This window comes from Homo sapiens, chromosome 2, assembly GCF_000001405.40.
Source record: "Homo sapiens chromosome 2, GRCh38.p14 Primary Assembly".
NCBI lineage: Eukaryota > Metazoa > Chordata > Mammalia > Primates > Hominidae > Homo > Homo sapiens.
Window position 1 is genome coordinate 108777520 of NC_000002.12, and position 16164 is coordinate 108793683.

At 39.6% G+C, this 16164-nt stretch overlaps 2 protein-coding genes across 57 annotated transcripts in view, besides 2 other annotated features; both read left to right on the forward strand.

Moving 5' to 3' along the window:
• RANBP2 (RAN binding protein 2) overlaps positions 1-16164 on the forward strand; it is a 1122820-nt gene that overhangs the window by 58038 nt on the left and 1048618 nt on the right. For 9 of the 10 annotated variants that reach the window (XM_005264002.4, NM_001415871.1, NM_001415873.1 and 6 more), the window contains 4 exons: positions 3750-3910; positions 4609-4882; positions 5009-5343; positions 6077-8290. The exons of the other annotated variant lie outside the window; for it this stretch is intronic. In XM_005264002.4, coding sequence (XP_005264059.1) covers positions 3750-3910; positions 4609-4882; positions 5009-5343; positions 6077-6382 — 1076 coding nt within the window. In that variant the 3' untranslated portion in view covers positions 6383-8290. Of the gene's footprint in view, positions 1-3749; positions 3911-4608; positions 4883-5008; positions 5344-6076; positions 8291-16164 lie in introns of those variants that run through there. 10 annotated transcript variants of the gene reach the window in all.
• Positions 9061-9650: a silencer, noted in NCBI's record as "silent region_11852". NCBI's record gives its function as "represses an Ori minimal core promoter by ATAC-STARR-seq in GM12878 lymphoblastoid cells {active_cell/tissue: GM12878}" and the evidence as "EXISTENCE:reporter gene assay evidence [ECO:0000049][PMID:35858748]".
• The window catches only part of CCDC138 (coiled-coil domain containing 138), a 98736-nt gene continuing 91802 nt past the window's right edge, over positions 9231-16164 (forward strand). For 15 of the 47 annotated variants that reach the window (NR_147237.2, XR_007069664.1, XM_011510761.3 and 12 more), the window contains exons 1-4: positions 9252-9414; positions 10513-10570; positions 11333-11447; positions 14156-14283. Coding sequence is in view for 38 of the 47 variants with exons in the window: in XM_011510761.3 (XP_011509063.1) it covers positions 9304-9414; positions 10513-10570; positions 11333-11447; positions 14156-14283 (412 nt within the window). In the remaining 9 variants the exon portion in view is untranslated. 47 annotated transcript variants of the gene reach the window in all.
• Positions 13167-13341: a silencer, noted in NCBI's record as "fragment chr2:109407142-109407316 (GRCh37/hg19 assembly coordinates)". NCBI's record gives its function as "represses an EF-1alpha promoter that drives an FKBP-Casp9 reporter gene in an ReSE screen in K562 erythroleukemia cells {active_cell/tissue: K562}" and the evidence as "EXISTENCE:reporter gene assay evidence [ECO:0000049][PMID:32094911]".

Below are 16164 nucleotides of genomic sequence, written 5' to 3' on the forward strand. Positions count from 1 at the left end.
TTAACTATACTTTCATATGTGATTTGTTAATATTTCAGGTTTTGTGAGTTTATACTTTTTAAGGATATGATTTTGTAGTTTTCTTTTTTGTACTATCTTTGGATTTCAGTATTAGGGTTGTGCTAATTTATTGTGCTAAGTTTATAATTGGTGTGCTTGCCCATCTTCTTTAGTGGAGTTTCTATTTTTAATCCATTTTGGTAACATTTCTAGAAAAGAATCCATTTCCCTGATTGTATCCGGTTTACTAGTGTAAGGCCATCCATTATATTTTTTCATTCTTGTAATATCTTTCACATTGCTCTTTATAGCACCCCTTAAATAGTTCTAGTACAAGGTGTTTGATTTATGGAATACATTTTATTGAGGATATGTGCTTAAATGATTAATGCAGTTCAGAATTCTGTTCTTTCCTCCTCTATATTTGCACTTTTTTCACAGCTCCTGCCACCTAGAAACACATAAAACTTTTAGAAATTACCTTCAGATGTGATGTTATGTTGGAATTCATGGCTTCACTGATGTCGTTTATTTTTAATTTATGAAATAGCCTGAAATCAAAGGGTAATGTGTCAGTAAATAAGCAATATAGTAGGTACACTTACACAAAAAAAATCCCAAAAAAATAGATAGGCTCCTTGTTACTCAGTGTAGCCTCTTTGAAGTATTATGTCAATATTGGACACTAAAGTGAAAAGTAGGCAGTACTCACATATCGGGAGGAAACCATGCCTAAATAAGCCTTATGCATTAACATTCACTTCTCACTACCACTTGTCATTTTTATTCACCAAGCTCTTGTGTATTGAATGCTTACTTTAGTTAATTTAGATTGTGCTTGTTAAAAATAGTATTTGAAACTGTAAATGCCTTGCAGTCAGTTTTGTTTGTATCCACAGGTTTTCATAGGGAATCTTTATACTTTTGTAAATTTCCAGATAATTTAGAGTTTCAATCTTATTTTCTCTAATGTCTCAAAGCTTGCCAAATTAATTATTCACTTACAGTAACATTACTGTAGGCCCAGTTATGACCTGTGAGACCCAGATATTGATATATTACAAATACTTTTACAAGTGGGTGATTCTAATGTGTTCCCAGGGTAGAGAACCACTATTTTGAAATAATTTTGAATTCTTCTGCCACATGTCCCTTGGGGTTATTTTTTAAATTTTTGCTTTTGGCAAAAAAGTTGCTGAACAATTTTGTTTTTGTTTTTGTTTTTGAGACAGGATGTCACTCTGTTGCCCAGGCTGGAGTGCAGTGGCATGAACACAGCTCACTGCTGCCTTGACCTCCTGGGCTCTAAAGCAATCCTTCCACCTCAGCTTCCCAAGTAGCTGGGACCACAGGTGTGTACCACCATGCCTAGCTAATTTTTACATTTTTTGTAGAGACAGGGGTCTCACTATGTTACCCAGGCTGGTCTCAAACTCCTGGGCTCAAGCAGTCCTGCCACCTTGGCCTTGCACAGTGCTGGGATTGTAGGCATGAGCCACTGCACCTGGCCCTGAACAGTTATTTTTGAGCCCCCAAGTTGGTATCTCATCCAGATCAGTGGTTACTGTTCTCAGGAAGTTCCCATGCAACCTGTGGCTTTTGTTCTCAGATCATTCCTTTGCAATATGTCCTTAAGAATTTTTGTCTTTCTGTCTCTTTTTTTTGAGACGATCATTCTGTTGCCCAGGCTGGAGTGCAGTGGCGCAGATCTCAGTTTACTGCAACCTCTGCTTGCTAGGTTCAAGTGATCTCCTGCCTCAGCCTCCTGAGTAGCTGGGATTACAGGCATGCACTGCAACACCCCGCTAATTCTTTTAGTATTTTTAGTAGAGATGGGGTTTCGCCATGTTGGCCAGGCTTGTCTCGAACTCCTGACCTCAAGTGACCAGCCCGCCTCGGCCTCCTAAAGTGCTGGGATTACAGGCATGAGCCACCACACCCGGCCCTCTCTCCTCTTTAAAAACATTTTTTTTTCCCCTCCATTAAATCTGTCTGAAAGAGAGTTGATTTTTTATTGTGTTCTTTAAGGTACTGAGTTATGTATCCTGTGACATTTTTTCTTTTTCATGAGAGTTTTTAGCAGAAGGTGTAGGGTTCTTTAAGACAGTGATTCAGCAAGTGATAAAAAGTTGAGAGGTGTTTCTTTCCTCTAAGATAGTGGGGACTTGGTCATCTAAATTGAGGTATGGGATGGAGAAGTTTCTAGTTTTCACCTTCTTGCAGGTATGCGAGAGTGAGACCATCATTGTTCCCCCATACAGAAGTAGGATGCTTAACAATCTAATACCCTTTGGGCAGTTGAAGTCAGTGAGATTCTCCCAAGGCTGCTTTCCACCAGCCCAACCAAGAAATCTACATTCCAGCATTAGCTTCTTCAGGAAGAAGTAGAGATGCAGAAATTATAAACATGTTTAGGCCATTGTGGCTAATTTGGAAGTAGCAGGTTTGGCCTGCTGAGCTAAGTTTACAAAATTTCAAGGTGGGTACTTGAAATTTTAGAAGTAGGTAAAAAGAACCTACTTCTTTACTTGGAAGTCCTTGTGTAGTTTAGTATTAGGAAGTTTATCCAAGGCAGTGACAGTCTTATCTTTGTATCGCTAAGCATAACAATAATAAATGTACTCTGTACTCAACAGTATGAGTTGAATTTACTAGCTTTTTTTTTTTTCCTTTTTTTCCTTTTTTTTTTTGGTGACAGAGTCTTGCTCTGTCACCCAGGCTGGAGTACAATGGCACGATCTCTGCTCATTGCAACCTCCGCCTCCCAAGTTCAAGCGATTCTCCTGCCTTAGCTTCCTGAGTAGCTGGGATTACAGGCACCCGCCACCACGCCCGGCTAATTTTTTTTTTTTTTTTTTTTTTAAAGACAGAGTCTTGCTCTGTCGTCCAGGCTGGAGTGCAGTGGGGCGGTATCTGATCACTGCAACCTCTGCCTCTCAAGTTAAAGTGATTCTCCTGCCCCAGCCTCCTGAGTAGCTGGGATCAGTCACCCATGACCACACACTGCTAACTTTTTTTTTTTTTTTTAAAGACAGAATCTTGCTCTGTTGCCCAGGCTGGAGTGCAGTGGGGCAATCTCAGCTCACTGCAACTTCTGCCCCCCAGGTTGAAGCGATTCTTCTGCCTCAGCCTCTCAAGTAGCTGGGACCACAGGCGCATACCACCACTCCCGGCTTTTCTTTTCTTTCTTTCTTTCTTTTTTTTTTTGAGACGGAGTTTCACTCTTGTTGCCCAGGCTGGAGTGCAATGGTGCCATCTTGGCTCACCGCAACCTCCGCCTCCTGGGTTCAAGCGATTCTCCTGCCCCAGCCTCCCGAGTAGCTGGGATTACAGGCATATGCCACCATGCCTGGTTAATTTTGTATTTTTAGTAGAGACGGGGTTTCTCCATGTTGGTCAGGCTGGTCTTGAACTCCTGACCTCAGGAGATGCGCTCACCTCGGCCTCACAAAGTGCTGGGATTACAGGCGTGAGCCACTGCGCCCAGCCTAATTTTTGTATTATTAGTAGAGATGGGGTTTCACCATGTTGGCCAGGCTGGTCTCGAACCCCTGACCTCAGGTGACCTCGGCCTCCCAAAGTGCTGGGATTACAGGCGTGAGGAATTTACTAGAATAATATAATTTTAAACATTTAAAATTGATGTACATATTACATCATCAGGAATTAGAGGGATTGATAAAATAAGAGGGGGATGAAAAATGTAAAAAATAGATACTAGTGTTTAAATATCCTGATTTATTCATCAGATAAAAATTTCCAATGGGCAAATACTGGAGCAGCTGTGTTTGGAACACAGTCAGTCGGAACCCAGTCAGCCGGTAAAGTTGGTGAAGATGAAGATGGTAGTGATGAAGAAGTAGTTCATAATGAAGATATCCATTTTGAACCAATAGTGTCACTACCAGAGGTAAATGTTAAGGAATTAACCTTTTACTAATAACTTATTTTTCATTTTTAAGTTTTACCCTGGCTTGATCTGTCAGGGTATAATTGTTTGCATTTAAGAATGTTTACTGTTTGAAATGGAAGCTCTATTTATTAGATGTCTAGCCTTTAAGTATAAATTATCTTTTTACAGTTTTTACATAAATATTGGTTTGTAAATTCTATATGTAATTATTGGTAAGAAATAATTTTTTCTTATGTTTCTAGAATATCATGTTTGTTTTTATAACATGATTCTGGGGAAAAATTAACCTCATACTCACTAAAGTCCTTTCAATAAATGTTAACCTTGTATGTTTTTTGGACAAGAACATTGTTCTAGGAAAATTACTTTGTCATTTTTTAACCTCAGTCAGTAGCTAATATTTCTCTTCAGTAGCAAACACTTTTGAAACCTCTCTGTCCTATAAAGAAAAGCATTTAATTTCCAAAGGGAAAATGAATATTATATAAAAGAAAATGTTTAATGATAAATCAGGTCTTTACTCCCTCAGCCAAATCAGATATATTCCTAGCCCTAAGATATATAACCAGTTATCACATTAACAAATTCTCTTTGTCATCACAAAGAAAATGCCTTAAAAGAATTTGGATCTTTGAAATTTGTCATGGAATTTATTATAAGCAGCAGCTTATAGAGAATTTCATCTCCTATTATAGGTAGAAGTAAAATCTGGAGAAGAAGATGAAGAAATTTTGTTTAAAGAGAGAGCCAAACTTTATAGATGGGATCGGGATGTCAGTCAGTGGAAGGAGCGCGGTGTTGGAGATATAAAGATTCTTTGGCATACAATGAAGAATTATTACCGGATCCTAATGAGAAGAGACCAGGTTTTTAAAGTGTGTGCAAACCACGTTATTACTAAAACAATGGAATTAAAGCCCTTAAATGTTTCAAATAATGCTTTAGTTTGGACTGCCTCAGATTATGCTGGTGAGTTTTTACATTCAAATGCTACTTTTCATTTTTTGGACTTTTCTAAAATCTATAACAAACAAAACAACTTATAACAGTTATTTTAATACTAAGGTCACTGCTTCCCCTTTCCCTCCCTGCCAGATGGAGAAGCAAAAGTAGAACAGCTTGCAGTGAGATTTAAAACTAAAGAAGTAGCTGATTGTTTCAAGAAAACATTTGAAGAATGTCAGCAGAATTTAATGAAACTCCAGAAAGGACATGTATCACTGGCAGCAGAATTATCAAAGGAGACCAATCCTGTGGTGTTTTTTGATGTTTGTGCGGACGGTGAACCTCTAGGGCGGATAACTATGGAATTATTTTCAAACATTGTTCCTCGGACTGCTGAGAACTTCAGAGCACTATGCACTGGAGAGAAAGGCTTTGGTTTCAAGAATTCCATTTTTCACAGAGTAATTCCAGATTTTGTTTGCCAAGTAGGTATTATTAAGTACATACCACAATTGAGGTCTTGAAGAGTGCACCACACTAATGGGAAATTTGAGTGTTTTTCCTTGACCTCATCCTGTAGTTTTGTTAAAGATTTCTTTAGGTTTTCCACACATGGAATCACATGGCATCACTACCCATTCCCTGCTCCTGCCTAAAACTTTCAACCTAAAATAATTGAGGCTGGGCACAATGACTCATACCTGTAATTCCAGCACTTTAGGAGGCCAAGGCAGGCAGATTGCTTGAGCCCCGGAATTTGAGACCAGCCTGGGTAACATGGCAAAAATCTCGTCTGGACAAAAAAATACAAAAATTAGCCAGGTGTGGTGGTGTGCGTCTGTGATCCCAGCTACAAGGAAGCTGAGGTGGGAGCATCCAGGAGGCCAAGGCTGCAGTGAGCTAGGTTTGCACCACTGCACTCCATCCTGGGCGACAGAGTGAGACAGCCTGTCATTAAAAAAAAAAAAAAAAAAAAAAAAAAAAATCAAATTTTCAGTACTTGAGATCTAGTAGAAACTAAGGGATGGGAAAAACCTTTTCATTTTTCATCTTCTTTCCAACAATATGAATTTCTTAGTTTTCAAACTATACTCAGGAAAGCTGGGCTTTAGGATTTAACATGTAGTGATGAGTTCTGTGTGTATTTTAATATTTTACTCAGGATTCCTATTAATTGAAAAAAATTTTTAACTTTTTTATTATAAATCTTTTTTTCAGGGAGGAGATATCACCAAACATGATGGAACAGGCGGACAGTCCATTTATGGAGACAAATTTGAAGATGAAAATTTTGATGTGAAACATACTGGTCCTGGTTTACTATCCATGGCCAATCAAGGCCAGAATACCAATAATTCTCAATTTGTTATAACACTGAAGAAAGCAGAACATTTGGACTTTAAGCATGTAGTATTTGGGTTTGTTAAGGATGGCATGGATACTGTGAAAAAGATTGAATCATTTGGTTCTCCCAAAGGGTCTGTTTGTCGAAGAATAACTATCACAGAATGTGGACAGATATAAAATCATTGTTGTTCATAGAAAATTTCATCTGTATAAGCAGTTGGATTGAAGCTTAGCTATTACAATTTGATAGTTATGTTCAGCTTTTGAAAATGGACGTTTCCGATTTACAAATGTAAAATTGCAGCTTATAGCTGTTGTCACTTTTTAATGTGTTATAATTGACCTTGCATGGTGTGAAATAAAAGTTTAAACACTGGTGTATTTCAGGTGTACTTGTGTTTATGTACTCCTGACGTATTAAAATGGAATAATACTAATCTTGTTAAAAGCAATAGACCTCAAACTATTGAAGGAATATGATATATGCAATTTAATTTTAATTCCTTTTAAGATATTTGGACTTCCTGCATGGATATACTTACCATTTGAATAAAGGGACCACAACTTGGATAATTTAATTTTAGGTTTGAAATATATTTGGTAATCTTAACTATTGGTGTACTCATTTATGCATAGAGACTCGTTTATGAATGGGTAGAGCCACAGAACGTATAGAGTTAACCAAAGTGCTCTTCTCTAGAATCTTTACACCTCCTGTGTGGTTACAAGTTAACTTTGTAAGTAGCGTACCTTCCTTCCTTAAAATATCTAGCTTCCTGTGCCCTTTCATAGATATTCGATTAATTTTTACATTTTAAACAAGTTGACTATTTCCTTTAGGGGTTTTGTTTCAAACTTTTCTGTCATCTGTCTCTACTACCTCAGAAACTGCAGCTTGGTTCTGATGATAGAAATTGAATTTTTCCTTGTAGTTATTGTGATAAAGTATGAATATTTTTAGAAAGTCTATACCATGTTCTTTCGTTAAAGATTTGCTTTATACAAGATTGTTGCAGTACCTTTTTCTGGTAAATTTTGTAGCAGAAATAAAATGACAATTCCTAAGAGCCACTGACATCCAAAAAATTCATTACTTACGCTTCGGGTTCATTCTAAAGTAAGGAAGACAATTTAAAGGCAGTAAATTCAAACTGCTGCATAATTTCCAGAGCTCCTAGTTTCTCAAGTTTGATACACACCAAAAACGTATTTGGAAATGGCTTGTATCAAATGTTAGGCAAATTGCTAAAGAAAAGAGGATGTTCTTATTGGCCTACTCAATATGGAACTACAAAGAATCCAGGTAGAACACAAAATTTTGTATATTGCAATTATGAATATTGACTGTCTTCCACCCATCTGTGTTCTTTCGGGTGAAATTACCTCATTTTATTTAGTGAGGAAAGACAGGTTTATTCCCTGTTACATGGGGATTTGGAAATTGGGTATCCTAAAGCAAGTAACTGTTCAACCACCAGTCAAAAGAGGGGAGGGATGTTGTGCGAGTAATGAGTGATGGTATACCATCACCATTCCACTCGGCCACAAAGCCAGATACTTGAAATAAACCTACTCCAAATGTATCAGTTCAGTCTTGAACCATGGATTACATATGTTTACACTAAATATTTCAAATTGGCTTATTTGGAAATCTATGTAATATAAACTGATGTAAAGTGTGTTGTAACTTTTCAGCTGAGACAGTTGATGCCTTCGTCATGATTTTAGAATAAATTCTTAAGTTAATGCAAGTGCTTTTTAAGAGACTTTTTACAGATTTGTATGCTTTCCTAAAGCACTAAAGTTACAAATTAAAAAGCTTTAAAAACTTTGACCAAAAATTTGACAAAATGACATGTAAACTGACTTTTCCCGTATTAGTATTCCAAAGATGCTTAAAAGTGGCTTGTGGCATTTATGAGAAAGTCTTTGTGTCACATTTCAGGAAAGGACTTTGATTTCTCTTTGTTATTTAATCACTGATGTGGTCTAAACCCACGATAATATGTATCTTTCCTTTTAAACTGGATTTTATGTTGTCTCATTAAAATCTGCTTAAAGATAGAATAAAATTCATTATTTGTACATCTTAAGTGGTACTTTATGGCAAAAAGTATGGCCTAAGTAATTTTCAGATAATAACTGCTGAAGTACAGATTTTATAAAACTTGGGCATTTGGGAACTTTAATCCAGAGAATTTAGGAGTTGTTAGTCCAGAGATGCAGCTGACAGTCACAATTTAGAAAGTAAAAGATTACACCACTGTAATTTTATGAATGAGAAAAATGAAGTGGTTGTACAGTTCCCCTCAGTCAGTTTTGTTTAACATAGGTTTTCAGGTTGATGTATACTATGTACTATGGTTAGCACTGTTGTAGGTATTGGCAAAAGCTTTTTTCTTTTCAAAAAAAAAAAGTTTTTTTTCCAGGGTGCTTACATTCTAACTATTCTTTTTAATACCCTGTTATACCCCATATGGAACACAGGGAAAGTGAGGTAATCTGCAATGTCTATGCTCAGCTTTCCCTTTTTTTTTTTTTTTTTAACTTTAAGAGATGGGAGTCTTGCTATGTTACCCAAGATAGATGTAACTCTCAGGCTCAAAGCAATGCTCCCGCCTCAGCCTCCTTAGCAGCCGGGACTACACGCGCGCCACCACTCCCGGCTCAGATATACTCTTGGTTTTTCTTTTATATGGCAGTTAGCAAAGGTCACTTCTGATGGAACGACCGGTCTATGTGGTGAGCGCAACGCACACCAAACTTAACAGGTTAAATGGAGCTGGAGCGGAGCGCTGCAGGCAGGTGCGGGGCCTCGGTGCCCCTCAACCCGTGGCACCCAGGCAGCCGGGGCAGGACTATCGCGGGGAGATGCAATACTACTCAGTTACGAGGTGTGTAGTGCTAGCACGAGAAACTTGGAGGACGCGCTGACAAGCCGGGCTGCAGTCTCCGGGTCGCCCCGCCCCGCCCTTTCCCTGCCGCCGTGCGTGCCTCGGGGGGGCGGGGTCTGGCACGTCGTGACGCACTGCGGCCGCGTAGCGCCGCGGGTTTGATGAACGCGGTTCCCGGGGAGACTGGTACGGTTGCTGTGTGCTATGGAGCCGAGGGTCGTCAAGCCACCGGGGCAGGATTTAGTAGTGGAGAGTCTCAAAAGCCGCTACGGACTCGGGGGCAGCTGCCCCGACGAGGTGAAGCCGCCGCCTGAGGTCCGCGGGTGGGCTCCTGCTGCTGGGGGGCGGCCCGCTCCGTGCCCCGCGCAGCCGGCCTGGGGGCGCGCAGCGGCTCTGGTCCCGGCCCCGGCACTCCCGCCGTGGCTGCGGCTTGGGCCTCGTGGAAGCAGGCGGGAGGGGCGGGCGTTGCGCTGCGGGGGTGCGGGGGTGCCGCTTCACCTATGCCTCTGTGTTCCTGGTATACTGGGCATGGTGTGGTGTTGGAGAAAGTGCTATTCAGCTTTTTTTTGCAGTGATGTGAGTGGAGTTGTGAAAACAATTGAATTGCTTTTTAAAAGCGGCTTATTTCGAAATAATTTCGGACTTACTCAAAAGTTGCTGCAGTATTACCAAGAATTCCCTTGTACCCTCACTTGCATTCACAAATTAATATTTTGCCACATTGGCTTTACCATTCGTTCTCTCCCCTTCCCTCCCTACAAACGCATTTTTTCCCTTTGAACTATTTGAGGGTGATTTGCAGGCATCATGCCCCTTTACCTCTGAATAGAAATAACTTGTGCATTTTTCCTAAGCATAAGGACGTTGTCTTTTAATAACCACAGTAATATTTTCAGGAAATTTAGAATTGGTATAATATTTGGTAATCTAGAGTTCATAAGAAATTTCAGCAATTATCTCGATAAAACCTTTTATAGGAAAATTTTTTCCTAGTGCAGATCCGACCCAAGAACGAGCATTGATTGTATTTGATTGTCCTTTTTGTTGCCTTTAATCTGGAACAGGTTCACAGCCTTTGTTTTCTGTAAGGTTGTTTTTTTTTTGAGAAGTGTAAGAATTATTTATTGGATTGTTTCTCCGTTTGGGTTTATCTTATAGATGCTTCTTCGTTAGATTGATTATGCATTTTTGGCAGGAGCATGAGATGAGTGATGTGTGGCCTGCTGTGGGGAGGAACATGACGTTGGTTTGTCACATTATTGATGATATTAGTTTTGATCACTTGGTTAAGATGGTGTCTACAAGATTTCTCCACTCTAACCTTTGTAATTAATACATAATTTGTGGGGAAATATTTTGAGACAGTAAATTGATTTTTAGTATACAAATTAAATCTTTTCTTTTTTTTTTTAGTATGATTTTTCAAATTTTTATCAGTCTAAGTATAAGAGAAGAACTCTAACCTCCCCAGGTAAGCCGGTATTTTGTATATTTGGGGGTTTCAAAAATTTAATTTGAGGCTGGGCGCGGTGGCTCACGCCTGTAATCCCAGCACTTTGGGAGGCCGAGGCAGGCGAATCACCTGAGGTCAGGAGTTCGAGACCACTCAGGCCAACATAGTGAAATCCCGTCTCTACTAAAGATACAAAAAATTAGCCGAGCATGGTGGCGGGCGCCTGTAATCCCAACTGCTGGGAAGGCTGAGGCAGGAGAATCGGTTGAACCCGGGAGGCAGAGGTTGCAGTGAGCCGAGATGGCGCCACTACACTCCAGCCTGGGCAACAAGAGCGAAACTCAGTCTCAAAAAAGAAAAAAATAGGCTGCGCGCGGTGGCTCACGCCTGTAATCCCAGCACTTTGGGAGGCGAGGCGGGCGGATCACGAGGTCAGGAGATGGAGACCATCCTAGCTAACACGGTGAAACCCCGTCTCTACTAAAAAAAATACAAAAAATTAGCCGGGTGTGGTGGCGGGCTCCTGTAGTCCCGGCTACTCAGGAGGCTGAGGCAGGAGAATGGGGTGAACCCGGGAGACGGAGCTTGCAGTGAGCCGAGATTGCGCCACTGCACTCCAGCCTGGGTGACAGAGCGAGACTCCGTCTCAAAGAAAAAAAAAGAAAAAAAAATTTGAGAGAGAAGATTTTAAAAATAGTATTATTTAGACTTATGGCCAGTGCCAGATATTTTGTGATATATTGTTGTGGTAATCTTTCATGGTTTCTTTGTCGTTGACAGGTGATTTGGATATCTACTCTGGAGATAAAGTTGGTTCATCGTTAAAATATTCTGATGAAAGCAAGCATTGTAGAACACCATTGGGCAGCTTATTCAAGCACGTAAATGTGAATTGGTAAAGTACCCTGAAACTTTACTGTTGCTACCCCCTCAGTATCTCAAAAAACTGAGAAAGAGAAAAGGGCAGGTTATATTTTTGCTCTTTCCTGAGGACAAGTATGAGGACAAGTATAAGGCAGTCTGGAGCCTGCTAAATAGTTGAAGCGAGTCACTTATTAATTTTTACTGAGAATCTCTGTAATAAAAGCATAGACCTAGCATTATATTTAGTGGCATAATGGAAAGTTATTTATATAATGTAAAAGATGAAAAAATATATTTTTATGGTTATTCATTCAGGACCCAAATGAAGACTCTGCTCCCTTTCTTTAAAAATTTTTTTTTAGAAAAGGAACTATGGGCCAGGTGCGGTGGCTCACGCCTGTAATCCCAGCACTTTGGGAGGCCGAGGCGGGTGGATCACCTGAGGTCAGGAGTTTGAGACCATCCTGGCCAACATGGTGAAATCCCGTTTCTACTAAAAAATAGAAAAATTAGCCAGGCTTGGTGGTGTGCGTCTGGAATCTCAGCGACTTGAGAGGCAGAGGCAGGAGAATCACTTGAACCCGGGAGGTGGAGGTTGCAGTGAGCTAAGATTGTGCCATTGCACTCCAGCCTGGGTGATGAGCAAAACTGTCCTGAAGAAAGAAAAAACGAACTACAAAAAAAACTGCCATACAGGTTTTGTTAGGCAGCAGCATTTTACTATCTCTGGTGTGTCTGGTATTGTATGCATTGTATTTAGGTGATTGAGAGAGATTGAAGAAGGTGGTCTGGGGAGATGGTAACTACAGGGTATGTAGGATACAGTGCTGGGTTAAAAGAAGTTGCCGTTCTGTAAGGAAGATACTATTTACTATGGGGAAAAAATATAAAAACAGTGGAAGCTAAGGTAAAATAAAGATCTAAGTTGGATATTATTTAATGCTAAAAATATGTGGCAGAAAGAAATGCTATGGGTATCAAGAAGGAGTAAGCATTTTGAAATAAAGATGTATCCATATATAACATGAAATGTTGAAATAATTGTGGAGAGAAAAAATAATTATGCCTAAAGTATCTGTATGTTACATAATTAGTATTTGGGAGCTTGACTTTTTTTAATACAGTTTTCTCTTTCTCTACTTAAATAAGTTAATCTGTGTAACACACTTTGAACAGTTCTGGGTAAATAATAAGTACTCAAATGTTACCTATTATCATTATTATTACTATTTCATGTTGCACTCACAAAATCTAGTTGATCTAGATTTAGGATTTAGACATGAGCTACGTTGAATGTAGGGTAAGGAAAGTGAAAATTGCTTTTAAGGTAATAATTATAAATTTATGGAAATTATTTTCTTTTTAACTGAGTTTTATCATTTTTTATATAATGACCTGGGTATAACTCTAAACTATAATCTAAAGGTTTTGGACTATGAAGGTTTTCATAACATTGGACCCCTAGTTGTGATCTGGTCTGAAACTATGCTGTCCAGCACAGTAGCAACAGGCCACATGTACCTATTGAGTACTTGAAATGGGGCTGGTCTGAATTGAGATATGCTGTAAGTGTCATATACACACTGGCTTTCTAAGACTTAGCATAGATAACAAAAATTAGCCGGGCATGGTGGCGGGTGCCTGTAGTCCCAGCTACTCGGGAGGCTGAGACAGGAGAATTGCTTGGACCCGGAGGCAGAGGTTGCAGTGAGCCGAGATCGCGCCACTGCACTGCAACCTGGGTGACAGAGTGAGACTCCGTCTCAAAAAATAAATAAATAGGCATGGATAAAATAATGTAAAATATCTTAATTTTGTGTGGGTGTATGTGGGTTTGCAGGGGGCGAGCCTGTTGCCCAGGCTGTGAGTGCAGTAGCATAATTGTAACTCACTGTAGCCTCCAACTCCTGGGCTCAAACGATCCTCTCACCTCAGGCTCCTGAGTAGCTGGGACTACAGACGTGCACCACTACTCCCAGCTAATTTATTTTATTTATTTTTCTTTTTGTAGAGACAGAGTCTCACTGTGTTGTCCAGGCTGATCTTGAACTCCTGGGCTCAAGAGATACTCCCACTTCGGCCTCCCAAAGTGCTGAGATCACAGGCGTGAGCCACCATGCCTGTTCTATCCTAATAATTTTTAACATTGATTACATGTTGAAATGATAAACTTTTAGATATATTATATTAACTAATATTTTTAAAATTTATTTTTTTAACGTGCTACTAGAAAATTTTAAATTACCTATATGACTTGTGTTATATTGCTTTTGAACAATACTATTCCAAAAATTTCAACTCAGATTGTCTTTTTGGAGACAACACCTGGAATTCTAGTTCTGCTCCACTTTCTACTCGTTATGTCACCCATCAGTTATTTGACTTACTTAGGTTTAGTTTACTTATGTATATTATTTTAGCTAAAACTACCTTATAGATAACAGATTATTGGGAGTCAAAATAAAGTGTTCCTTAGCTGTAGAATATACCACAGGTAGGTATATGTCATTTTAAATTAAGTCTATTTAATGTGTAGAAAAAGATGCTTGTAGTGGGTTATCAATGATCAGTGACTGTTAGTTTTTACGTTTTTTCTTTTTACATGTTTACATTTTGCAGTTTAAAAAATGTTTTTACATTTTTTCTCAGTTATGCTGTTAATATTTGAAAAGCAGTTTTATCTTTTTAAAGTGCTATAGTAAACTTCTAGATTGCTGTGATACAATTATTTTTTTAAAGCCTAGATGATGAACTGGATTCTTTCCATGATTTGAAGAAACAGGAAACAGAAGAAGAGTTAATTGAAAATGATTATAGAGTTAGTACCTCGAAAATAACCAAGCAGTCTTTTAAAGAAATAGAAAAAGGTAAAATAAATATTTTAGAACAATCAATTCAGTAGTAACTTTGTCAAGTAGAGTAAATGAAGCTTCCCTCCTAGTAATAACACTGGCCCCCAAGAGTTTGCATATTTCTGTGTTCTGAACTTCTGTAAGCTAGGAGATAGTTACTGTGCTTATTATTAAACTAAAGGAGCAGAGAAAATTAAACTTCATTATTTTTCAGTAATATTCCTGTACCCTCAAAATTTATCAAAATAAGTTAATAACTGAGTAGATGATTGTGGTAGTATTTGACTACAATATTTTGAGAAAATACTCCAGATTATTTGAAGTATGGATTTCTGGGCACTGAACTGCCAGCAGTTTTCTGTGTATCTGGCTGCATTTCATAGTTGTGGCGGGATTTCAAGGAATGAGACAACCAGAAATGGCACCCTTCACCCTCTGGGCTACAAGACTTTGAGTTGCCCTGTTGATAATACTGGTGCTGGTATTATGGTCTACACACAACAACATTCATTTTCCTCTTTTCCCTCTCCTTTGTTTTCCTTTGTCCCATTATTCTCATCATTTGAGGAAGATGAAAAATAATTCTGTCGGGACTTGAGTTTCCTGCTATATGGTCGATTTTCCCAGTGGAAAACATGGGATAAGGTATAAAGAAAATGTTGCTTGTATTCCATTAAAAGTAATGGCAAAAGCCACAATGACTTTTGCACCAACCTCATATTTGAAAGTAGACAAAATTAAGAAATGCTCGGGCCAGGGATTGGTGAGTCGGGAACCTAGACAGGCAAGTAGAGCTCTGTGAATGTGCCTTTCACTTTTAGGGCATTTGCTGAACTGAGTGAAGTGAAGCTTTTCATTTTAAAAAATTCATACTATGTTTTATTTTTACTTCTCCGTTGTCTGTTCAAAATGGAGTATAATGGAAGACACACCCCCCTCCTTTTTTAAAGCTGGGGCTTCCATGAGTCTAGTGCAAGTTAAAACCACTGAGCGTCGGCCAGGCGCGGTGGCTCACGCCTGTAATCCCAGCACTTTGGGAGGCCGAGGCGGGTGGATCACGAGGTCAGGAGATCGAGACCATCCTGGCTAACACGGTGAAACCCTGTCTCTACTAAAAATACAAAAAATTAGCCAGGCATGGTAGCACGTGCCTGTAGTCCCAGTTACTCGGGAGGCTGAGGCAGGAGAATCACTTGAACCCGGGAAGCGGAGGTTGCAGTGAGCTGAGACTGTGCCACTGCACTCCAGTCTGGGCGACAGAGAGACTCTGTCTCAAAAAAAAAAGCAAGGCCGGGCACGGTGGCTCGTGCCTGTAATCCCAGCACTTTGGGAGGCAGAGGTGGGCGGATCACGAGGTCAGGAGATCCAGACCATCCTGGCTAACACGGTGAAACCCTGTCTCTACTAAAAAAAAAAATAACAAAAAAATTAGCCGGGCTTGGTGGCTGGCCCCTGTAGTCCCAGCTGCTCGGGAGGCGGAGCTTACAGTGAGCCGAGGTCGCGCCACTGCACTCCAGCCTGGGCGACAGAGTGAGACTCCGTCTCAAAAAACAAAACAAAACAACAACAAAAAAACACTGACCGAGAGCATTTTATACTCTAATTGTTAAAAGAAAATAAATTCTGACAGTATAGTGCTGGCAAGGATATCAAGCAAGAGGAACTCACCTACTGCTGTTGGGAGAGTAAATTGATACAGCCACTTTGGAAAACAATTTGGCATCACTAGTAAAGTTGAATCTGCACATATACCCTATGATCTAGCAATTTTGCTACTACTTATATACCCTCAGGAAACTTTTTTTTGTTTTGTTTTGTTTTTTTTTTGAGATGGAGTCTCGCTCTGTCGCCCAGGCTGGAGTGCAGTAGCGCGATCTGGGCTCACTGTAAGCTCCG